Below are 26751 nucleotides of genomic sequence, written 5' to 3'. Positions count from 1 at the left end.
CATTTCACTAACCACTGATAAGAATAAATATGTTTTAATGTTTGTTACTTAAAATATGTTGACAATTTCTCAATTCAGAATAATTATCTTCTGATTCTCTCTTAAAAGTAGAAGCCAGAGATCCTAAAGTAATTGTATCATAAATAATTTTTAAAGACAAGAATCACCTGAAAATACACAGTTAAGAGATCTAAGTTTCAGTTATATAATTACTATTACTGAATAATATGGTTTGCTATAGAACTAAGTTTTCAGCATCCAAAAGTAAAGAATAGCTATTAAAAAGAAAAATAAAAATTCAAGAGCAATATTTCTCAACATGTGGTCTGAGGATCACCTGTATCAGATCAATCAGGGTGCCTAGAAGCTGACTTCCTGGTACCCATTCTAGGCTCCTTAAACAATCATTTCTCACCTGGTACCCTGGGATCTGAATTTTCACAACTTCTTTATGTTATTTTATGCCTGGGATCTGAATTTTAACAACTTCTTTATGTTATTTTAAGCAACTAAGTTTTAAAACATTTAGTTTGAGGGACTCAGACAATGTAATAGTATTTTTATTTTTGCTTAAATCTAAGCGAGTTTGAATAATTGGGACAAAAAGTAATCTAGCTAGAAAGCTGTAGTCATGGAAACAAATTTCAAAATACTATAAGAATAAATTAAAAAGCTTTATGACACAAACACCAGTCTGTATTAATTAGTATTAAAGTGTTTGTAGGCATTTCATGGCTTTCCACGGATGGTCAACCAAATAAATATTAAAGAAACAATTTAAACAGACTTTTAATTTTATGACAAAACAACCACACAAAATATTTCCCTAACCGCTAATTTTAAATTACTATCAAAATAGATGTTATACACTAAAAAAGCATGGTAAAATTAAAGGATATTGTTTTAAATAATAAAGGGCTGAGGTTTGGATTTTGGGTTTTGCATTCACTTGGCTATCTGAGTCATTAGTCTTAATTTCATTTATCTGACTTCAGTTAAACAATGTGTGACAGGGGAATCATAATACCTATTTCAGAGTTATTTTGGAGAATTTAGTCAATTATAATCTATGAAAAGCACTTTGTTTACTGTGAAGTATTGATTATTAGCAACATTTTTAAATAGGATTTTTACACTTTGTTCCTTTGTTCCTACAATTAAAATGTCTACTGTCTCTCCATTCCCATACCTATTTTCCCCCTACCTCTATTCCTATTACTTTATTGTGCATCTTTAAGTGCCAAAGTCTCTCTAAAAGGAGGTTGCACTAAGAATGACAGTATATATGGGTATGGGACACATACTCATTTTAGGAATTGAAACGCTCATTCCAATAATCCCGATGGTTTTATTGTGGCTCAAAGGGTCTCTGAGGTTTGTGAGCGGTGTCACCTTACGAATCTGAACATATCCTTACAATGGACAAAAAACCAAACACCGCATGTTCTCACTCATAGATGGAAAATGAACAATGAGAACACTTGGACACAGGAAGGGGAACATCACACACGGGCCTGTCTTGGGGTTGGGGGAGTGGGGAGGGATAGCATTAGGGGATATACCTAATGTAAATGACGACTTAATGGGTACAGCACACCAACATGGCACATGTATACATATGTAACAAAACTGCACGTTGTGCACATGTACCCTAGAACTTAAAGTATAATAAAAAAAAAGAATCTGAACATATCCTTACAAATGTTCCAAATGAAAGCAAAATATCATACGCTAAAAAATAGCATTTTATGTAAATAGCCAAAGGTCATGTGAAGCTAAGGCTGGTAAATAAGGTTTGTAATCAAGCTGAAAAATATGGCATCAGGTTAAACATGAAATGTGACTAAAGTATGGAACTGATTTTTTCCCACATGGAAAGGCAGACTACGAAAGCACTTTCAAAAAAGGAATTCTAAGATAGTTTGCTGGAGCAAATCATACAATGTACAAATTGGTATCCTTATAAAGTAATGGTCATCTCTCTCAACTAGGCCCTGAATGCTGTCAAGCAATTCTATCACAGGATTTTATTCTGTTCATACTCCCACACTGTGTACACATTAGCTTTTCACACCTTCTTTACTCTCTTCAATCCATAATGCGGCCCCCACACCTTCTCATTCTCAGTAAATATTCTAACCTCTTTCTTCAAAGAAAATATGTCAAAAGATTGAAATTACCTTAACTTTCCATTTGCAAACATCCACAACTACTAGTGTAATAATTGCTCTCCATTCGTGCTTCCTCTCCCATTGCAGCTGTTAATGTGTCCTTCCTCCCCTTTAAGTCCCTGCCTTGCTCTCCTGCTCAGGATCCCGCTCTGCCACCTTTCAGAAGTCTTACCCTTTGCATACTTCTCCTCACTTGAATCTCTTTAACCTCTCCTGCCAGGCCGGATATTTCCTCTTTCTTAAGAGACAAAAGTCCCTTAACCTCACATTTCATTCCATTCATGATCCATTCTCCTTCTTTCTATACTCATAATTCTCTTAAAAAATTATCCACCTTAATGCCTCCATGTTCTCATTTCTTATGCATTTTTAAAACCATTCTACTTTGACTTCTGTCTGTATCACTCTACTGAAATGATCTTTGCTAAAGTTACTGATAACTAGAACAGCCACATCATTGAAACACTTTCAGTAGGACAGCAGGCTTCAATTAGGACAGTATTGGGCAAACTGGGACATGAGCTCTCTTATCTTAATGATTTACCTGTTGCTAAGTCTAATAATATTTTGTCTTCCTCTTACTTAGCCTCTCAGTTGGCCACTCCCTTGTTTCTAAAATACATACCTATGTCCTTAATCTTCTGAGAAACCCCTCCCATTTCTTTGCCCACTCCTTCTTTTTCTCCTAGTCCATTTCAGTCTCATTTACTTGACAATTAGATAGATGAGTTCTACAAAGCTTAGTTTTAGACACCATTCATGTCCTAATCTATACTCTCTGCTTAAGTAACTTCAACAATTTCCATGTCTTGGATTTTCATCTTTGTATCAATGGCTTTCAGAGTTAAATATTCAGCCTAGACTTCTCTGAGCATCACAGACACAGCAAATTCTCTAGTTGACAATTATAATTGGAAGTTTTACACGTGTGCTGAGACATGAGGGTATGACAACCAGACAAACAATTTGGCACCACTTCTAATTCATGCTTTTATAATACTTTTAATCATATTTTTCATAAGAGGAAGAAGAAATTATTTATTGTATTATTACACAGAAACAGTTATTTACTAAATTATTATATCTATATATTTTTTAAAAATTGACACAAACTCTTCCACATTTTTTTCTCTTGTAGCTTTTCAAACATCTTTATTAGAAACAATAAAAATATAAAGAAGTCTAAATAAAACTATTATAAGAATAGTAATTAATAGAATAAGCAAAATACAAGTTATTACTTAAATATAAGTTAAATATAAATGTTATTAATTATAGCCAAGTATAAGTAAGTATTAATTCTTACTAGTAGACAGCATGATTCTGCAAATTTTTATCTCAGAATTTCAACCAACTGACTTTTGTAGCACATCAACAAGGAGGAGATTGAATCTTAAAGGGCATTTCTTAGCCAGAGGGGTGGGTGCATGGATGTTTGGTTTAGTATTGTTTGTTAACCTTTACACTTATGTTTTTATACATTACATTTTATAACAATGCTACACTTGATAATAAAAATTAAAAGTATATATTTTTATGTAGACTGACTTTCCTTCTCCTCCAGCATGATTCTCTTTCTCTTATTTGGAAGGGAGGATAGAATGGGAGATTGAGCTCTTATTTCCCCATTTGGCTATCAATGAACACTTATGCATGGAATATCTTTGTTCTGATAAACACAATTTTTAAATGTCTTTCTTCCTAGTTGATTGGGAGCTCTATGAATTCAGGGATTGTGTCTGGCCTTTTTTTTTTTTTTTTTTTTTTTTTTTTGGTGTATTCCCAGTGCTAGGACCACACCTTGCTCAGCACTGTTGCCCTAAACCGGTCTGGCAATATATGGAATTTAGCCATGAAAATATTATTGAATAAATGCATTCCTCAAACATTTTATTCTAACCAGATTCAAAACCTGCAATTACTTCCTGCTTTCTCCATGACTTTGAGTAAGTTACTCTCTGAAACTCATTTTTCCTATTGTAATGTCTTATAACGATAAGGTTGTCCTGAGGATCAAATGTATTAAGTAAAATACCAGGCATGGAACTTGCCATCTAGTAAGTCCCAATAGTTCCATATCAGAGTTCTCTTGCAGTACTATTGAAATATCATAAAACCTGTCTTTAAAAAAGCTAGCTTTTTCCTATTAAATGAGATCTTTAGGCATTCTCTCATAGTTGTAATTTCAGTATAGAATTTAGCTATATGGGAAGACACACTAGCACCTAATCCCAACTATTTCTAAACAAAAGTGGCAATACAATTTAAGGATAATAAGAGGAAAGGCTTCAATAAATGCACCGGCTATCGCATTCCCCACACAGAAAGCGGGATTTGTTGTGGCAGTAGAGAAACACATCAAGGAACGGCCAGATTGCACCTTTTCCTATGTTTCACATTAGGTTGCAATAAACTTTCCACATCCACGAGGTATTATAACAACATGTCAAGGCAATTTTAGATTTAATGGTAGAATGCACATTCTAGTACAAGGGAGATAAACTTTAAGCTGGGCAGAATGAATGTCCTTTCTAGTTGAGAAGAAACAGGAGGCACCAAAACTTCAACTGTCATCAGAGCAAAGTAAAACAGTACCTGGATGTTTGGGGGATCCTTTGGCACTGCTCTGTAATGAGGAGGTGTAAGAGACTAATGCCAAACATATTGTTATAATTTTGTCCGCCAAAGGAAAAATTTAGCATGGTGTTAGCTGTGTTCTTTTTAAATGTAGCCCCACCCTTTCCTGCTTACTTTCTACAAGTTCAAAATTAATTAGGATCTCCTAGACCTGCTTATTAAATGAAAAAAACTCCATCAACAAAACAAAGTTTTAAAAGCTTTAATCATCCAGCAGCTAAAACTTCATGGTGGAGCTGTGTAATTTTTTTTTATTATACTTTAAGTTTCAGGGTACATGTGCACAACGTGCAGGTTTGTTACATATGTATACATGTGCCATGTTGGTGCTGCACCCATTAACTCGTCATTTAACGTTAGGTATATCTCCTAATGCTATCCCTCCCCGCTCCCCCCACCCCACAACAGGCCCCGGTGTGTGATGTTCCCCTTTCTGTGTCCATGTGTTCTCATTGTTCAATTCCCACCTATGAGTGAGAACATGCGGTGTTTGGTTTTTTGTCCTTGTGATAGTTTGCTGAGAATGATGGTTTCCAGCTTCATCCATGTCCCTACAAAGGACATGAACTCATCCTTTTTTATGGCTGCATATTATTCCATGGTGTATATGTGCCACATTTTCTTAATCCAGTCTATCATTGTTGGACATTTGGGTTGGTTCCAAGTCTTTGCTATTGTGAATAGTGCTGCAATAAACATATGTGTGCATGTGTCTTTATAGTGGCATGATTTATAATCCTTTGGGTATATACCCAGTAATGGGATGGCTGGGTCAAATGGTAATTCTAGTTCTAGATCCCTGAGGAATCACCACACTGGCTTCCACAATGGTTGAACTAGTTTACACTCCCACCAACGGTGTAAAAGTGTTCCTATTTTTCCACATCCTCTCCAGCACCTGTTGTTTCCTGACTTTTTAATGATTGCCATTCTAACTGGTGTGAGATGGTATCTCATTGTGGTTTTGATTTGCATTTCTCTGATGGCCAGTGATGATGAGCATTTTTTCAGGTGTCTTTTGGCTGCATAAATGTCTTCTTTTGAGAAGTGTCTGTTCATATCCTTTGCCAACTTTTTGATGGGGTTGTTTGTTTTTTTCTTGTAAATTTGTTTGAGTTCATTGTAGATTCTGGATATTAGCCCTTGGTCAGATGAGTAGATTGCAAAAGTTTTCTCCCATTTTGTAGGTTGCCTGTTCACTCTGATGGTAGTTTGTTTTGCTGTGCAGAAGCTCTTTAGTTTAATTAGATCCCATTTGTCAATTTTGTCTTTTGTTGCCATTGCTTTTGGTGTTTTAGACATGAAGTCCTTGCCCATGCCTATGTCCTGAATGGCATTGCCTAGGTTTTCTTCTAGGGTTTTTATGGTTTTAGGTCTAACACAGAAGTCTTTCATCCATCTTGAATTAATTTTTGTATAAAGGGTAAGGAAAGGATCCAGTTTCAGCTTTCTACATATGGCTAGCCAGTTTTCCCAGCACCATTTATTAAATAGGGAATCCTTTCCCCATTGCTTGTTTTTGTCAGGTTTGTCAAAGATCAGATGGTTGTAGATATGCAGCATTATTTCTGAGGGTTCTGTTCTGTTCCATTGATCTATATCTCTGTTTTGGTACCAGTACCATGCTGTTTTGGTTACTGTAACCTTATAGTATAGTTTGAAGTCAAGTAGCGTGATGCCTCCAGATTTGTTCTTTTGGCTTAGGATTGACTTGGTGATGTGGGCTCTTTTTTGGTTCCATATGAACCTTAAAGTAGTTTTTTCCAATTCTGTGAAGAAAGTCATTGGTAGCTTGATGGGGATGGCATTGAATCTACAAATTACCTTGGGCAGTATGGCCATTTTCACGATATTGATTCTTCCTACCCATGAGCATGGAATGTTCTTCCATTTCTTTGTATCCTCTTTTATTTCCTTGAGCAGTGGTTTGTAGTTCTCCTTGAAGAGGTCCTTCACATCCCTTGTAAGTTGGATTCCTAGGTATTTCATTCTCTTTGAAGCAATTGTGAATGGGAGTTCACTCATGATTTGGCTCTCTGTTTGTCTGTTATTGGTGTATAAGAATGCTTGTGATTTTTGTACATTGATTTTGTAACCTGAGACTTTGCTGAAGTTGCCTATCAGCTTAAGGAGATTTTGTGCTGAGACGATGGGGTTTTCTAGATATACAATATGTCATCTGCAAACAGGGACAATTTGACTTCCTCTTTTCCTAATTGAATACCCTTTATTTCCTTCTCCTGCCTAATTGCCCTGGCCAGAACTTCCAACACTATGTTGAATAGGAGTGGTGAGAGAGGGCATCCCTGTCTTGTGCCAGTTTTCAAAGGGAATGCTTCCAGTTTTTGCCCATTTAGTGTGATATTGGCTGTGGGTTTGTCATAGATAGCTCTTATTATTTTGAGATACGTCCCATCAATACCTAATTTATTGAGAGTTTTTAGCATGAAGCATTGTTGAATTTTGTCAAAGGCCTTTTCTGCATCTATTGAGATGATCAGGTGGTTTTTGTCATTGGTTCTGTTTATACGCTGGATTATGTTTATTGATTTTCATATGTTGAACCAGCCTTGCATCCCAGGGATGAAGCCCACTTGATCATGGTGGATAAGCTTTTTGATGTGCTGCTGGATTCGGTTTGCCAGTATTTTATTGAGGATTTTTGCATCAATGTTCATCAGGGATATTGATCTAAAATTCTCTTTTTTTGTTGTGTTTCTGCCAGGCTTTGGGATCAGGATGATGCTGGCCTCATAAAATGAGTTAGGGAGGATTCCCTCTTTTTCTGTTGAGTGGAATAGTTTCAGAAGGAATGATACCAGCTCCTCCTTGTACCTCTGGTAGAATTCGGCTGTGAATCCATCTGGTCCTGGACTTGTTTTGGTTGGTAAGCTATTAATTATTGCCTCAATTTCAGAGCCTGTTATTGGTCTATTCAGAGATTCAACTTCTTCTTGGTTTAGTCTTGGGAGAGTGTATGTGTCGAGGAATTTATCCATTTCTTCTAGATTTTCTAGTTTATTTGCACAGAGGTGTTTATAGTATTCTCTGATGGTAGTTTTTAATTCTGTAGCATCAGTGGTGATTTCCCCTTTATCATTTTTTATTGCATCTATTTGATTCTTCTCTCCTTTCTTCTTTATTTGTCTTGCTAGTGGTCTATCAATTTTGTTGACCTTTTCAAAAAACCAGCTCCTGGATTCATTGATTTTTTGAAGGGTTTTTTGTGTCTCTATTTCCTTCAGTTCTGCTCTGATCTTGGTTATTATTTGCCCTCTGCTAGCTTTTGAATGTGTTTGCTCTTGCTTCTCTAGTTCTTTTAATTGTGATGTTAGGGTGTCAATTTTAGATCTTTCCTGCTTTCTCTTGTGGGCATTTAGTGCTATAAATTTCCCTCTACACACTGCTTTGAATGTGTCCCAGAGATTCTGGTATGTTGTGTCTTTGTTCTCGTTGGTTTCAAAGAACATCTTTATTTCTGCCTTCATTTCGTTATGTACCCTGTAGTCATTCAGGAGCAGGTTGTTCAGTTTCCATGTAGTTGAGCGGTTTTGAGGGAGTTTCTTAATCCTGAGTTCTAGTTTGATTGCACTGTGGTCTGAGAGACAGTTTGTTATAATTTCTGTTCTTCTACATTTGCTGAGGAGAGCTTTACTTCCAACTATGTGGTCAATTTTGGAATAGGTGTGGTGTGGTGCTGAAAAAAATGTATATTCTGTTGATTTGGGGTGGAGAGTTCTGTAGATGTCTATTAGGTCCACTTGGTGCAGAGCTGAGTTCAATTCCTGGATATCCTTTTTAACTTTCTGTCTCATTGATCTGTCTAATGTTGACAGTGGGGTGTTAAAGTCTCCCATTATTATTGTGTGGGAGTCTAAGTCTCTTTGTAGGTCTCTAAGGACTTGCTTTATGAATCTGGGTGCTCCTGTATTGGGTGCATATATATTTAGGATAGTTAACTCTTCCTGTGAAATTGATCCCTTTACCATTGTGTAATGGCCTTCTTTGTCTCTTTTGATCTTTGTTGGTTTAAAGTCTGTTTTATCAGAGACTAGGATTGCAACCCCTGCCTTTTTTTGTTTTCCATTTGCGTGGTAGATCTTCCTCCATCCCTTTATTTTGAGCCTATGTGTGTCTTTGCATGTGAAATGGGTTTCCTGAACACAGCACACTGATGGGTCTTGACTCTTTATCCAATTTGCCAGTCTGTGTCTTTTAATTGGAGCATTTTGCCCATTTACATTTAAGGTTAATATTGTTATGTGTGAATTTGATCCTGTCATTATGATGTTAGCTGGTTATTTTGCTCATTAGTTGATGCATTTTCTTCCTAGCCTGATGGTCTTTACAATTTGGCATGTTTTTGAAGTGGCTGGTACCGGTTGTTCCTTTCTATGTTTAGTGCTTCCTCCAGGAGCTCTTTTAGGGCAGGCCTGGTGGTGACAAAATCTCTCAGCATTTGCTACGTGATGAATGCACAAGACTCAGTAGCCGATTTGATCAGGAAGAAAGGGTATCAGTGATGGAAAATCAAATGAATGAAATGAAGCGAGAAGAGAAGTTTAGAGAAAAAAGAATAAAAAGAAACAAGCAAAGCCTCCAAGAAATATGGGACTATGTGAAAAGACCAAATCTACATCTGATTGGTGTACCTGAAAGTGACAGGGAGAATGGAACCAAGTTGGATAACACTCTGCAGGATATTATCCAGGAGAACTTTCCCAATCTAGAAAGGCAGGCCAACATTGAATTTCAGGAAATACAGAGAATACCACAAAGATACTCCTCGAGAAGAGCAACTCCAAGACACATAATTGTCAGATTCACCAAAGTTGAAATGAGGGAAAAAATGTTAAGGGCAGCCAGAGAGAAAGGCTGGGTTACCCACAAAGGGAAGCCCATCAGACTAACAGCTGATCTCTCAGCAGAAACTCTACAAGCCAGAAGAGAGTGGGGGCTAATATTCAACATTCTTAAAGGAAAGAATTTTCAACACAGAATTTCATATCCAGCCAAACTAAGCTTCATAAGTGAAGGAGAAGTAAAATACTTTACAGGAGCTGTGTAATTTTTATGAGAGTATGAAATATTTAGATAGTCATTTTGTGTTTGCCTACTGTTTCTTAGGATTCCACCCCTTATAAACAATCCTTTCTCCAACCTCTTATAAACTCTGGTTATGCTTAAACTTAGAAAGCTGAAGCCCCAATTTCCTTTTTCTCCCTTCCTTCTCTCCAATTCTCTCCTTTTATTCCTTTCAACAAACATTTACTGAGCACTTACAGTTGGACACTTTGTTAAGATTCAATAAATAATCTTGTATTCTTTATAATAGCCTTAGGAGATAAATCATATTATAATTTTTCTCCATTAAACAAAAAAATGCTAAGAGAAATTAAGATTTAGAGATGGCAAGAAATTTGTTCAAGTTCACACAAGTAGGTAGTGGGGGAGTTGAGCTTCATCAAGTTAGCTACAGATTCTGTATTCTAACAAATTAAACAACACTGTCTCTCAGCTGTGTGCAAAGTGCATCAAAGTGTAATAACAAGATCAATGTTTTTATATATATGTAGAAGGTATGAGTCATCTCATAAATCTCAGAAGCCTGTCTCAGACATTTTTGCCAAGCATGCATTTTCACAGCAAGTCAGAGACTGGTTAAGTATTTTAATATGAAAGATAGGAAGTTTACCTTTCCAAAACAGTTCGCTGCAAGGCAGTTTGATTTTATGTAACATGCTTTCATTTTCTATGTTCGATTTGCAAAACATCACTTACTCTTTGATGATTTTTGAGGTCTAGGCAAGAAATGAAATGGTGAAGTTGCAGAGAGCTTAAACGTGTAATTAAGAATATCTTCGAGAGGGCTGAAAGGAAGTCATTTTTGCTGTATGTTTACCAGTTGCATTGCAAGGGTAGATTTTGGTATTGCTTAGCAGAAGACTCTTTTTGTTTTGTCTACATATGCCTATGTTGTCAATATTGTTTGAAAAAGTTTGCCTTAGCACAGAAAAAATGTCATACATTGAAATTTTTATTAAACCAACGTACCAGTAAAATTCAGATGTTAACACAGATTCTCCAGACATGAAATAAACATAAGTATTTTTTATTTCTTATCCATCCACTGATATTACAAATTATACAGGATGAACATATGTATGAAAACATATGTATTCCCTTAGAAAAGGTTAGTAACTTTTGGACTGTTGACAAGATTATGCATGCAGTAACTTGTGGTTACAATTTTAAGTGACATTAAATACTATCTTGTAGAACTTAACCTATATTGCTCAGGAGAAGTGTGATCATTCTAACTCATCCCTGGCAAGAAGGTATTATACGCATAGCTTTATTTCTTTATTTCTTTATTAAGAATATTAGGTGCAAAAGGCATTGTGGTTTTGCCATTAGTTTAACCGCAAAAACTGCACCAACTTAATACCATCTGTTGCACATTTCGAAAGACTTTCTTGAGGCTTTGTCCTGTATTAGAAGCAAGCTCCAGCAACTCCAGTTATATAAATGATGCCACAGTTATATAAGGTTCTTTATTTTTCAACAAAGCACAACATCCTTATACTACAGATGAAATTATTGTGGGAAATTTAAGATTGCACAGAAGATTAAGAAGTAGAACCTCAAAAAGGATTACAGGAAAGTAAATAATTTAGAGTAATACATCTTTCTTCTCACTTTTGTAATTTTACATAGTAGTTGTTGCTTGGGTTTATATTGTTTATTATTAAGGCTAAAATATATATACTTTAATATGGAATTAATGCCACAGATATGGGAGTATATTCATTTATATATATATATATATATGCATGTTAGTAGCTTGTTTCTTAATGAAGTACTAGTAGATATTTTTTGAATTTTGTTTTTTGGTTAGTCATCATTCAAGTTGAAACCTTGTCACACACATCTCTAGTCCATTGGCACGTAAAATTATTGTTTTGTTCGAATGACTCAGTAAATCAGGAATTTGTGTCATCAAAGGTGTGTTAAAGTTGCTCTGGAAAAAAAATAAGTCAATTCTCTATACCAGGAAAAATTACATTACATATGTATAGTACTGTAAAATGAGTAGGAGCACCATAGCTAGACATACATGGGTTCAACTTCCTCCCTGGCCAATTTTTAGCTGAATTACCTTGAACCTCAATTCCCTCATCTAAATTGGGATAATAATTTGTATCATATAGGAGTGACATGAAGATGCATGGGAGATGAAATGAAAATTAAAGCAGATCCAGAGATAGAATAGCCAAACATGATGATGATGATAAAGGCTATTATTATGAACTATGTGACAGGCACTGCATCAAGGGCTACACATACACATTTAAATCTCTCAACAACCCCATTAAGTAGCTTTTACTATCCCAAACTTACACAAGGCAAATAACATTCAAGGACATTTTAAAAAACTAGTCAAGGTATCACCATTATTAGTTGACCATATGGGATTATTGAACCCATGCCTTTGTGATACCAAAAGTTGAGCTTCTTATTACCATACTTATACAAAACCTCAGGTGCAGTATCTGGGATAGAATATATACTCAGCAAAAGTAGACTAGTTCTGTGTAAGTGTATGCGTATGTATTTTACTAGAAAAAAAGTATTTTCTCTATTGGTTATCCCATGTGAACTAGATTTTAAATGTCTTTACATTGTTATGTGACACATAATAAAATTACTGTTTCTTACTTCTATTATCTTAAATTATTTTTCAAATATTTCTTCAAATATATATATTTTTAATTTTTGTAGATTCGGGGAATACATGTTCATGTTCGTTGCATGGATATAATACATAATAGTGGCTGGGCGCGGTGGCTCACGCCTGTAATCCCAGCACTTTGGGAGGCTGAGGCAGGCAGATCACCTGATGCCAAGAGTTCGAGACTAGCCTGGCAAACATGGCAAAAACCCATCTCTACTAAAAATTATCTATATAAAAATTAGCTATCTATTATCTATATAAAATATTTATATAAAAATTAGCTGGGGGTGGTGGCACACACCTGTAGTCCCAGTTACTCGAGAGGCTGAGGCAGGAGAGGTGGAGGTTGTGGTGAGCTGAAATTGTGCCACTGCACTCCAGCCTGGGCAACAGAGCGAGACTCTGTTTCAAAACAAACAAACAACAACAACAACAACAACAACAACAAAAACATAATATTGTTGTACCCAATAGGTAATTTTTCAACTCTAACTCACCTTCTTCCCTCCCTGCTTTTGAAGTCCCCATGATTTCCTTCTGTATATTCATGTGTACTCATTGTTTAGCTCTCACTAACAAGTGAGCACATGTGGTGTTTGATTTTCTGTTTCTGAGTTATGTTACTTGGATATGGCTTCCAACTCCATCCACGTTGCTGCATAAGAGAGGATTTCATCGTTTTTTATTGTTGAGTAGTATTCCATTGTGTATCTATATAACATTTTCTTTATCCAATTATCCATTGATGGACACTTAGATTGATATCAATACTTTGCTATTGTGAATAGTGCTGTCATAAACATTAAGAATGCAGATGTCTTTTTGATATAATTATTTATTTTCCTTCAGGTAGATACTCAGTAGTAGAATTGCTGGGTCTAATGGTAGTTCTAATTTTAGTTCTTTAAGAAATCTCCATACTGTTTTCCATATAGATTGTACTAATTTACATTCCCACCAGCAGTGTAGAAGCATTCCTTTTATGCCACATCTTTGCCAACATCTGTTATTTGTTGACTTGTTAATAATATCCTGATGGGTGTGAGATGATATTTCAATGTGATTTTAATTTGCATTTCTCTGATGATTAGTAATGTTGAGCATTTTTTCATATGTTCATTGGCTACTTGAATATGCTCTTTTGAGAAATGTCTGTTTGTGTCGTTTGCTTAATTTTTAATGAGGTTTGTTGTTTTTCGTGTTGAGTTATTTGAGTTCCTTGTAGATTCTGTATATTAGACATTCGCTGGATGAGTAGTTTGCAAATATTTTCTCCCTTTCTATAGGCTGCTTGTTTCACTGTTGATTATTTCTTTTACTGTGCAGAAGCATTTTAGTTTAATTAAGTTCCATTTGCCTATTTTTGTTTTGGTTGCATTTGCTTTTGAGATCTTAGTCATAAATACCAATGTCCAGAAGAGTTGTCACTAGGTTTTCTTCTTTCTTCTTCTCTTTAGTAGGTTTTTACTGGTATTTTTGTAGTTTCAGATCTTACGTTTAAGTCTCAATCCATCTTGAGATAATTTTTATATATGGTGAGAGATATGGATCCAGCTTCATTCTTCTGCATATGGCTATCCAATTTTTCTAGCAACATTTATTGAATTGGATGTCCTTTAAGCATAGTATATTTGGGTCAACTTTGTTGAAGATCAATTAGCTGTTTGTGGCTTTATTTCGGGGTTCTCTATTCTCTTCCATTGACCTATGTGTCTATTTTTAAACCAGTACCATGCTACCTTGGTTACTATAGTCTTATAGTATAATTTAAATCAGGTAATGGGATGCCTGCAGCTTTGTTCTTTTTGCTTAGTATTGCTTTGGCTATTCAGGCTCTACTTTGGTTCCATATGAATTTTAGGAATTTTTTTTCTAATTTTGTTAAAAGTAACATTAATGATTTGGTAGGAATTGTGTTGAGTTTGTAGATTGCTTTGAGCCATATAGTCATTTTAATGATATTAATTTTTCTAAAACTTAAGTATGGGATATTTTTCTGTTTGCATCATCTATGACTTATTTCATCAGTATTCTGTAGTTCTCCTTGAAAAGACCTTTCATCTTCTTGGTTAAATGTATTCCTAGGTATTTTGTGTGTGTGCTGTTTGTTGTAAATGGGATTGAGTCTGGATTTGTTTCTCAGCTTGAACATTATTGGAGTATAAAAATGCCCTGATTTTTGTGTGTTAATTTTGTATCCTGAAACTTTACTGGAGTCAGTTAACAAATACTAGAGTCTTTTGAGTTTTTAAGTATAAGATCATGCCATCAGCGAACAGAGATAATTTGATTTCCCCTTTTCCTATTTGGGTGCTTTTTATTTCTCTCACTTCTCTGATTGCTCTGGCAAGAACTTCTGGTACCATGCTGAATAGGAGTGGTGAGAGTTGACATCCTTGCCTTATTCCAGTTCTTAGGGAGAATGCATGCAACCTTTCCACTTTCAGTAAGATGTTGGCTATAGGTTTGTCATAGATGGCTCTGATTACTTTGAGGTATGTTCTGTTGATGCCTAGTTGGTTGCAGGTTTTTATCATAAAGAAAATATTCTATTGAATGATTTTTCTGCCTCTACTAAGAAGATCATGTTTTCTGTTTTTAATTCTGTTTACGTGAATTTACACATATTGATTTTTTTACACATTTATTGATTTTTGTATATTGAACCACCTTTGCATCCCTATAATAATACTGGCTTGATCATGATATGTTATCTTATTTATGTGATGTTGGATTCAGTTTGCTAGTATTTTGTTAAGGACTTTTGCATCTATGCTCATCAGGGATATTGGCCTGTAGTTTTCCTTTTTTGTTGTGTCTTTTCCTGATTTTGGTACCAGGGTGATAGTGGTTTTGTAGATGAGTTAGAGAGCAATCCTTTCTCCTCAAATTTTTTTTGTTTTGTTTTTAGAATAGTTTTAGTAAGATTGGTACCAGCTCATCTTTGTTTGTCTGGTAAGGTTTGACTGTGAATCTCTCTGCTTCTGGATCTTTTGTTGTTGGAAGATTTTTTAAGATTACTGATTGCTTTTCTTTACATGTTCTTTGTTTAAATTTTCAAAGAACTAATTTTTTAATTTAATGATTCATTGCATCCTTATTTTCTCATTCCTTCTGCTAGCTTTAAGTTTTGTTTGTTCTTGTTTCTCTAGTTCCTTGAGGTATGACATTAGGTTGTAAATTTGACATCCTTTTAATCTTTTTTGATGTAGGCATTCAATGCTATAAACTTTTCTCATAGCACTGCTTTTGCTGTATCCTATAGGTTTTGGTATATTGTGTCTCTATTTTCACTCATATCAATTTTTTTTTATTTCTACCTAAATCTCATCATTTACCCAAAGCTTATTCAGGAGCAAGTTGCTTAATTTCCATGTATTTGTATAGTTTTAATTTTATTCTGATGTCATCCAAGATACTTCAAATAATTTTTATTTTTTGAATTTATTGAGGCTTGTATTATGACTAAGCATATAGATTATTGTGGAGAATATTTCACACATGGATAAGAAAAATGTATATTCTGATAAGAACAAATACTGTACTTGATCTTAGCCAAAAGGCTGGGAAGTAATAGAAAAATGTATATTCTGTGGTTGTTGGGTGCAATGTTCTGTAACTGTCTATTAGGTCCATTTGATCTAGAGTCCCGTTGAAGTCCAGAGTTTGTTGATTTTCTGCCTCAGTCATCTGTCTAGTGCTACCACTGAGGTGTTGAAGTCCCCTAATACTATTTTATTTCTCTCCATCTCTTTTCTCAGGTCTAGTAGTGTTTGTTTTATAAATCTGAGTGCTCTGGTGGTTGGCTCATACATATTTAGAATAATTATATCTTCTTGTTGAATTGAACTCTTTATCATTACGTAACAACTTTCTTTGCTTTATTTCACTATTGATTATTTAAAGTCTGTTTTAACTGTTATAACTATAGCTACTCCTGCTTTTTTCTGTTTGTTTGTTTTCTGTTTACATGGTATATCTTTGTCCACCCCTTCATTTTGAGTTTATGGGCCTTCACTTATTTTGCGGGTTTCTTGTGGACAGCAAGCAGTTGTATCTTGTTTTTTTAAATACAATTGACCTATCTATATCTTTAAGTGGAAAATTTAAGTCTTTTATGTTTAAGATTCATATTAATATGTAAGGTTTTCTTCCTGTCATAATGTTGTTACCTAGTTGGCTTTGTAATCTCAATGTGTAATTCCTTTATAGGATCTGTAAACTTTGTACTTACATGTGCTTTTATTATGGAAATCATTGTCCTTTCATTTCCATGTTTAGAACTCTTTTGAGCTTTTCTTGTAGGGCTGGTCTAGTGGTGATGAATTTGCCTTAGCATTTGCTTGTCTGAGAAAGACTTTATTTCTCCTTCATTTATGAAGCTTAGTTTGGCACTATATAAATTCTTGACTGGCATTTTTTTTTCTTTGAGAAGGCTGAAAATAGGCCCTCAATCTCTTCTGCCTTATAAAGCTTCTGCTGAGAAGTCCACTGTTAGTCTAATGAGATTTCCTTTATAGATTATTAGAGGCTCCCCTCTAGCTGCTTTTAGGATTTTTTTTTTCTTTCATCTTGACTTTGGATAGTCTGATGGCTATATGCCTTCATGAGATTCTTCCTGCAGAGAATCTTCCAAGTATTCTTTGAGCTTTTGTATCTTAATGTCTAGTTCTCTAGCTAGGCCAGGAGAGTTTTCTTGAATTATTCTGTCAAATATGTTTTCCAAAGTTTTTACTTTTTCTTCTCCCTCAGAAATGCCTTTTACTCATAGATTTGGTTGTTTTACATAATTCCATATTTCTTGAAGGCTTTGTTCATTATTAAACATTTCTTTATCTTTATTTTCGTCTGACTGGGCTAATTTGAATGACCAGTCTTCAAGTTCTGAAACTCTTCTGCTCAGTTTAGTCTACTCATAAAGCTTCCAACTATTTTTTGTAATATCATCAATAATTTTTTTATTTCCCAAAGTTCTGTTTTTTTAAAAAAACTATCCATGTCTTTAGTAAATTTTTCATTCATATCCTGAATTGTTTTCCTGATTTTTTGTGTTGATTTTCAACTTTTTCTTGGAACTCATTGAGATTTCCTACAATCCATATTTTGAACTTTTTCTCTTATTTCAGAGTTTTTATTTTGATTAGGATCCAAACTCATTTTTGATTAGGATCCATTGCTAGACATCTAATGTGATCCTTTGGGGATGTTGAAATGTTGTTTTTTGTTTGTTTGTTTGTTTGTTTGTTTGTACTGCAGGAGTTCTATGATGATTATTTCTCATCTGGAGAAGCTTGCTCTTCTTATTTTTGAATTTTCTTTTGTTTGGATGGGAATTTTTATTTATTTTTCCCCTTGAGGTGTGACTGTAATGTATGTTGTATATGATCACTTGGTTTCAATTCTGGATGCTTTCAAGGGGCCAAGGTTCTGGTATAAATTCCTTGGTTATAGATAGCTTTTCTATGTGTGGTGGCTTTCTCAAGTGCTGATTGTTGTAACAATGCATTGGGTATATGAACTGGCTCACTATTTTCTGTGGGGCTAAGAGCTGAGATCTCAGGAAGCGTATCTCATTCCCTAGCACTATGCCTTTCTGTAAGTGGGGTTTTTTTTTTTTTGATTATGCAGTTCAACTTTCAGTCCTGTAGGTGGCACTTACAAGTAAGAGCTGGCTCATTCCCAGATACCCCAATGATCAGTGGAAGCACCTACCCTGACTGGGGTGGTTGAGAGAGCACATGGTACAATGCTCTGAGGTATCCTCAGAGGTGGCAAGGAGGGGGCTGTATCAGTTCCCCATCCAATTCCCTATCACACCACTGTCCCAGAGCTTGCAGCCTTCAGTTCAGATAGACCCTGCCCTTTATCTCCAGGCTAAATGGAACTGAATTCTGCAGAAAATGCACATCCTGTGGCTACCCTGAATTGGCCTGGAGTGGAACCTCTTCCCTCAGCCCCAAACAACTCTGTGGCTGGCCAGCATTCAGCTGTAGGGATGCCATTACTCCACATAGGAAGAGGATGTTGAATCCTGCCCTTTGTGCAAGCCTGGGCTCGTGGGCACACTTTCAGTAGGGGTTTAGTAACCCCACATAGTCCTGGAGAAGCTATCTCCAGGTATACCCACTCCAATACCCAGTAGGAAAACCTGTGGCTGCATCCACAGCAGTGGATGGGGGGACAAGAGAAGACCCCCCACCTTCACATCTGTTCCTGGCCACTGGTGCTGCCTGTCTACTGAAGTAGAACAACATTCCTCCCTTTCAGAGATCAGCACTATGCCCTCATCTTCACTGGGATGGGCACAGTTACCTTCTGCTCACAAGCATGAGAGGGCTATCAGATGGGGAGAACACACAATCAGGTTTCCTTTGTCCTAAGGGGCACTTTGGCAGGCTGCATTGCCCCTTGCCCTATGGGTAGCTCATGCTAAGAGCCAGATCTTTGGGGATACCTCAGCTCCCCAGTCTTGCCAGTCTCCTGTGGTTGCCACAGTCAAAGTGGGCTCTAGGGAATGTTTGCAGGGGTTCTAGGATGGGAAGACATAACAGCTGATATTCTCCGGGCAGAATAGTGGCTGAAACTTTTAAAAGTCCTAGTTGATTCAAATAGAACTCTATTGGTGGCACAAATGTTACTTTTCTGACTATGTCTAGGACAAAGATGACAGTTTATGAGGGATTCATACAGAAAATTAAAGCATAATAGGTGACCAGCCCAGTACTGAATACTGAGAGCACCTGAACAAGAATGTTTCTAGCCTAACTTAAGTTTATGCAACCTGGAAAACAAAATTACTGATCTGAATTTCCAGTTGATGCTGAGATTCTGTCAGAAATTTATCTGTTCATGGTATGGAGTAAATTGTTCAATGACGGCCGGGCGTGGTGGCTCACGCCTGTAATCCCAGCACTCTGGGAGGCCAAGGCGGGTGGATCACGAGGTCAGGAGATCAAGACCATCCTGGCTAACATGTCTCTACTAAAAATACAAAAAATTAGCCGGGCATGGTGACAGGCTTCTGTAGTCCCAGCTACTCGGGAGGCTGAGGCAGGAGAATGGCGTGAACCCGGGAGGCAGAGCTTGCAGTGAGCCGAGATAGCGCCACTGCACTCCAGCCTGGGTGACAGAGCGAGACTCTGTCTCAAAAAAAAAAAAAAAAAAAAAAATTGTTCAATGTCATTAAACCATATGACTCTGTTGTTAAAGAAAACATCTCCTAAGGCAACACATTCAAAAATTAAGAAAAACAGGGATGATTTTTAGATGTCATTTTCAACAATTCTTTCATAGACATTTAAGATATATTTTATTTCCTAACACAAATAATGTGTTTCATTATTTGTTTGATAATCAGTTTAATCTTTGGCAACCTCCATTTCTGTAATTTATGACATCTGGTTAAAAAAAATCCCCAAGCAGCCAGGGAGCTTAGTCACAGATGTCAGCATGAAGTGGTAGTGAAAGCAAAGCGTTCTGACTTCAAAGGGTTAGGAAAGACTTGTAACAATGTAATAAAAAGAATAGATGCCACAGACATCATAAGTGTCAGAAAGAGCCAGAAACTCAGAAATGAAAATGTGGAGATAAATCAACATATGCTGGGTTTCAGTTTTCCAAGTTCCCTCCATCTTCAGCAACCATCCAGACACTAAGATGTGTTCTCATTCTTTATATCTGTGACCCAAATTAACTTTATCTCCAACAACCCCCTACTCATCCCTTCCTCCCACTCTACTCAAAACTTCCTTTCAATCAGTCAGAAAAGACTTTTACAACTTGAGAGTTTTATGAGTTGGGTTGTACTTTGTATTAATATTGTTCTCTTCCAAATTTATCCAGGAGTTTAGTATAAAAAATGTTATCAGGCATTTTTTAGGTCAGCCTCCATTGGTGTTGGCCCCATTCACAGGCTCTTTTTACAAAATAGACCCCGGTACATACAGGATGGCAAAGGCAAATGGTGATTGCTCTCTCCTCTGCATCCCTAGCAGTTCCTGGAAAAGGATTCTGGTTGGTCAAGGTTAGGTTTCATGCCATACCTTCAATTTGGGTCACTACTAGGGAGAGAAGGAACGTCTTGTAAAAGAAAAGAGGGAGGGAATTTGTTATCAGAAGAGCAAGAATGCTGGGCTTAGAAAAGCCAATTCCAAGAGACAATTTGAAAGAAAATTACTAGAAAGCTAGAGAACAGAGAGAGAACAGACTTTCCTTCAAGTGACTCAGATCCAAGGTCGGCAACAGGAGGATGCCGAAGTATTCTGTAAAACAGTGCTTTTTAAGAACCCTATTTTGCCAGATGTTTATCTTCCAGATTGAGGGCAGTGAAACTAGTGAGGTAAACAAGATAACAATAGCAAGAAGCCACTCATACCCATGAATACATTGGGAGAAGGTAATATTATTGGATACTAGAAGCTAATTAGTTTGACAGAAACAGAGATTCACAGAGAGAGTGGTTATGGGGCAGCAGCTGGCATCATGGTGAACGTACAGCCACAACTGGGATGCCTCCTGTAGCAGAGAGAGAAATTGTTCCCCAGTGTCACTCTTGGTTCCTCCCTGCAAGCCCCATACAGTATATCTCATTGGCTGAAGGTAGTCAGAAGCAACTGACAGATGTATAATTCATGTCCTCTGGGAAGTAGATGCCAAGATGAATTTAGATGTACAAGAGGTTTAATAGAGGTAATGCCTATGAAAGATAAAGTGGAGAAGGAAAAAGAGTATGTAGGGAAGGACTTGAGAGCTGATACTGAAATGAGGCTTATGAAAGGAATGGGGGCAGATCAAAGGACTGGGTAGTGAGAGCCCCAACTGTGATAGAGTTCTGAGAAAGACTTGATCAGCCCAATAGTTTACTCTGGAACATAGATTACAATTGAGGGGTCTTGTATTCCTCCATGCTCAGTCATTGAGGTTGGGGGCATCCTAAGTAGCAAGGGACCTCAGCTCCAAAGCTAAGGCAGATCCTGAAGGCACCACAGCTGGGTACTATTGGTGTCCTGACCTTCCTGTGGCAGAGTCACTCTTGAAGGGGGTATGGGCATTTAGGGCATCTTACCCTCTGTGGCTGCCACAGCAGGGAAGCCTAGAAAACACAGATCACTATGGTCAGCCTCTGCAACACTCAGCAAAGCAGGAGGAGAAAAGGAACAGATTTAAGTGCAAACAGGCTAATGATTGGCTTACAGGTGAAGAAAGTATCAGTTGCATGATTATATTCAATAATTGTAATATATAATGTTTTACCATGCTCAGATTCGGGAGCATGGATTTTAGGATTAAAACTGTCTGGTAACTCTAAGAAACCAACTTATCTTCACATATAACAAATCTTATGTTTAAGAATGCTAAGAACCCCTATGAGTAACTGTAACAAAGGAAGCTTTATTATGTATTACAGAATGCAAAGCTGGAGCAAACTTCACAACCCTTAATTAAGCCCATTTCTTCTGCAGATGTTCAAACAGCCTCAGATAGACTAGGTGAGATTCTCCAATTTATAAAACTTGTTTGTGACAGAAGTCAAGCTATATCCCCAATTTTTTTACTCTTGCAAAGAACTCCCATTAGGAATATAATAATGTTCAGCTTTGAATTTGAAAGTCAATGCTTAATAGTACTACACAACAGAAACTAGACCATTTTGTATTCAAATATTCTCTTGTGTGAGAAAGTAAAATTGGCCCAATTGTCCCATAGAATGAAGTTTACGGTCTTTTTCAATAAACATAGAAATGGATTCTCCTGGTCTTAAAACCTGAAACTTACATTGTCCAAGTTTCTTCCTCAGGAAATTGAAACTCAGGCCTCTGAAACTGTATCAAGGAACTAAAACTTATCAGATCACCACATCCAGATGAGACATCAAACCCTGTATTCATCATGATTGCTTCCTTACCCCTCTCTAATTCCTGTTTCCCCACATGTAGCTACATTCCTTCTCTGTTATATAAACCCCCGAATTTAGTTGGGTTGAGGAGCCTTTGAGATTTACCTCCCATCTCCTCAGCTGACATCACCCAATTACAGCTTTTCTTTCCTGGCAATACTCATTGTCTCAGTCATTGGCTTTGTGCACAGCAAGCAATGTGACCTACACTGATCCCCTGGCATTTTGATAAAAAATTTTGTTGTTCCTTGACTGTGAATGCATTGCTCATGGCTCAGCTGCTATGTGCTGGGAGAGTTTCAGAAGTTCTCCTAAGCAGCTGCCTGCCCATTTTTGGTCAGAAGTGGGTTTGGTTTCTCTCTCTTCGGATCCACCACTACCAGCCCCAACCACTCTCCTGATTGCCTAGGAAGAACAGCTATTGAAATTTGACATCTATATTTGGATAGGTGTCTTTTGTGGGTACCAGACAAAGGATTGCCTTCTCTCAGTCTGGGAAATTCCAAAGGAGTTACCATTTGCAGGTTGAACAAGCCCGACCAATGGAAAGAGGAAGCACCTTGACTATTTCAGTTTTGACACTCTTGTGGTTTGTTCATTGCTACAGATTGGATTGTGTTTTTGTGACAGTTTGTGTGTGTGTGTGTCATCATAATCATGGGAGGTTGGGGTTTGATCCCAGAGAGCAGCCCATTGGGGTGCATTCTTCAGAGTTGGCCAGAATGTAGTTGAGGGTTGATGGAGTAAGGGAAAGTCTTCAGCCATACTACTCTGAACATGCCTGATCTCATCGCACAAGGTCTTTGAATTGCAGAGCTTACAATTGGATTAATTTTGCTGTTGAATGGGAAAGTGGGATGGAGGTCTGTATATCTAGGCTTTTATGCTGCTGTTCTAAGCAGGATTGAGCCTGATTGATTAGTATCTTGTTCTATGGTGCTGATTAGTCTCAGTGTTCTTTGGAGGTTGGGGAGGTTTGGCCTTTAAAAATCAAACTGCTTTGGAAACTGCTTTACCCTAAACTTATGTTCACAGCCTCTATTGAATTACCTATTAGGGCAAACCAAATTCAGCCATGTGAACATGTTTATAAACCTGTGAGATTATATTGCTCTCTCATGGCTATACTTCTAAGATGAAAGCTATTGGGTCTTTGTTTTTATGTGAGTATACATGTCTGGATGTTATGTGTTGTTTTTACAGAGTACCAAATTGGCTTGTAAATAAAAGAGCAATCATAAATTAAGTAAATAAGTTCAAGCATTTTTCCAGTTCATGTCTCTTAAGTACATTTTTGTTAAATAAGCTGGCTTTAAAGTTATTGGTAAGATAAGAATAAAAATGTCTTCAGAATTGTCAGCATACATTTTTGTCCAGATTTTATATTTGTCTCTCCTAGATATTTTAAGGTGCCACTGTTTTTATAAAATTATAAACACAAACAAAAACAGAATTATCTTTGTGTGATTTTTTTGACAAGTAAGACTAATTTAATATTGTTGGTTCAATGAAAACAACAGCTGAATCTTCTGAGTTATCAGAAAAATACCCATGTGTTAACGTTCTTACACCTGAATATCAGGTGTGAACACCTGATAGTCACAGACTATAAAAAATGATTAATGAGGAGATAACTTGAAATGATGAGTAGTTTTGTCTAATATCTAATTTTCAGAAGTAATTCATATAAACTGTTGAAGATGAAAGAACTGAATACATGTAAATGGGATAAATGCTTATAGGTAAACTTTTTGTGGAATTTAAAATCTTAAAGTTATTTTGATTCAATAATAGATGTTTGTTGGATGTCTGGGTCATTTCTAAATAAGAAAGGGTTATAATATGGGAAAACATTTATAAAAATTGTGGAGTGATTTTATTTATAAAATGCTAGTAAACCTGATAGTTCAGGATTTCTTGGTTCCTGCAGTTTCACTAAAATTTAAGTTACTAAAATTTAAGTTTACTAAAAATAAGAATTCTACATATAAAGTGTGTCAAATCAGAAAGTGCAAGCATGTCATAGATGATCTGTATAAATCATGATATGGTTCATGAAAAGAGAATTTATGAAAGGAATTTCATATGTGATTAAGTTGGCTATAATTAAAGGGGAATTATTTAAAATAGTTTTCTAAAGATTGGTTCTCTATGTTAAAACATTATTTTCTTAAAATATTGATTTGATGTAAATAAAAGAGACTTCTATTTTGATTCTATAATCTTTCTTTTTGAAAACTTCTCATATTTGTATCTCAGAAGTGCCACTTGATTGTGTCTTGCTGCTTTCAGCTTTTTTTGCTCCTCTTGAAAAGGCCTGAAGTAACTCTCTCCTCCAACTTTTTCATCAGCTCTTGTATTTTTTTCCTCAAGTTCTAACTGCTATTGTGGCCTGATGTTAAAATGTTTATCTGAAAAGTCTATAAAAGCAGTGTTTTCCTCTAGCATAACTTGATTTCCCTGCTTAAGGTGCTATTTTTCTAGTTTCTTGTTTCCTCTATAATATTGATATTATGTTCACTCATGGCCCTGAACGCATTCTTCCTGTGTTTCATTAATTCAAGTACCCTTTCATCAGATTTGACCTCCAGGTTATCCAAATGGACTTCCCATGAGGAGATGCAATCACACTGTAGCAGGTCCTTCTTTCCCTTCTGGCTGCTGGCCTAACCAACAGATATTACATTTTATGGAGAGAATGTCTATGTCATTGTTATTAGGTTTTTGAATGCTTAGGAAAACTGAGATTTAAAAGAATTAAGGTTTTTTTTATATTCATGTAACTTTCTTTATTGCTTTTAAAGTCCTTGTGCTGTTATTAATATGTTATAGAGCTTTGAATCCTGGGTCTGAAAAGGGCACTGACACCCGCTAAATCTTGAAATTGACATCAGTTAAAGCCTTGTCTTCAAATATGGAGAAAGGGAACATCAAAATGAACTGCTTTCATGAGACACAGGGCCATAAATTAAAACAATCCAATCCCTGTAGACCCAGGGACTATCATAGAAGTGGTAGGTGCATGAGATTATAAGGGCCAATTTTGAGGGATGAAATTAGTACAGTTTTTTTTAATAAATGAAACCCCAATTCTACTACAAATACAAAAAAAAATAGCTGAGAATGGTGGTGTGCACCTGTAATCCCAGCTACTCGGGAGGCTGAGGCAGGAAAATCGCTTGAACCTGGGAGGCAGAGGCTGCAGTGAGCTGAAATCCCGCAACTGCACTCCAACATGAGTGACACAGCAAAACTCAGTCTCAAAAAAAAAAAAAAAAAAGAAAAAAAAGGAAAGAAAATTGTAAAAGGTTATAAGAGGTTTATGGAGATCTTATCTTATGGTCAAATTGATTAAAATTAGATTTATTTACAAGCCCTCATTACAATTAGCTTTAGCATTATTAATACACAATACAGAGGTAAATTTTTTCTCTTATGAACAATGTTTTTGTGTAATATTAGTAAGAGATAATAAAATATTTTCGATTAACTTTTGAGTAAACTTCCAAAAAATAAAAGAGCAGAGAGAGAAACAGATTTAATTGGCCTTATGCTGTCTTTATTAGGTTTTTTCTCGGGGGGAAACTCAGTCTACTCTCTATCAAAGAGTAATGGTTTTTGTTTTTTTGAAATCTTTGCGTTATCATTCTGGCTAAGTGGATTACTATTTTATGGTGACCTGTAATGCGATTTTATGACATTAAGTGTTTGAAACACTTAGATAAAACTTGAAACACTTAGATAAAAGTTTTGACATTTGCCAAACTTTCCAATATCAAAATTCAAAATTCTGAATTCCGTCTTCTTTTAAATCTCAGACTAACTTTTTGGACGCTGGGGTCCCTTGGGTCCAAAACTGCTTAATTTTCTTTGGGTTATATTTATATAAATATATAAATTTCCATATGTTTGTTAGTATGTATTCTGAAATTCTATGAGACTCCTAAAATTCTGATATATCATAGTATATGTCATCAATAGTAATTATGAGTGTTATATTAAACTGTTGTATGCCACAGAAATAATTAAATTTTCTTGTCAATTATATCTTTAACCATGGCTGTCCTAAGACTTCTGTCTTCCAAATTATTGTTTTACTCTGATTCCTCTTAAAAAGCAGTTTATAATCAGCTGAAGTCCAAAACTTGCTTCTTTAGGGGAGTTCATAAAAATGACTCTTGAATGCAGGTTTCTGACAACTTCTGAAGATTGCGCCATTGGACTAGAGAGAAAACTTCCAGGACTCTCATTGAAGAGGTGATGTATTCAGGAGAATTGCTGATCCAATATTAAGTAAAATAGGAGTTAATTAC

General features: G+C 36.1%; 1 long non-coding RNA gene across 2 annotated transcripts in view, besides 1 other annotated feature; it reads left to right on the top strand.

Annotated features, from left to right (window-relative positions):
* Positions 1-26751, top strand: part of LOC124902978 (uncharacterized) — a 39971-nt gene that overhangs the window by 7499 nt on the left and 5721 nt on the right. Inside the window, exon 1 of one of the 2 annotated variants that reach the window (XR_007063397.1) lies at positions 25761-26695. The exons of the other annotated variant lie outside the window; for it this stretch is intronic. This is a non-coding gene — a long non-coding RNA (uncharacterized LOC124902978). Of the gene's footprint in view, positions 1-25760; positions 26696-26751 lie in introns of those variants that run through there. 2 annotated transcript variants of the gene reach the window in all.
* Positions 22670-22769: an enhancer, noted in NCBI's record as "active region_6702". NCBI's record gives its function as "activates an Ori minimal core promoter by ATAC-STARR-seq in GM12878 lymphoblastoid cells {active_cell/tissue: GM12878}" and the evidence as "EXISTENCE:reporter gene assay evidence [ECO:0000049][PMID:35858748]".

The sequence above is a fragment of the Homo sapiens genome, chromosome 12, assembly GCF_000001405.40.
Source record: "Homo sapiens chromosome 12, GRCh38.p14 Primary Assembly".
Taxonomy (NCBI): domain Eukaryota; kingdom Metazoa; phylum Chordata; class Mammalia; order Primates; family Hominidae; genus Homo; species Homo sapiens.
The sequence above is the reverse complement of the archived record's forward strand: the minus strand, read 5'-3'. Positions and strand labels throughout refer to the sequence as shown.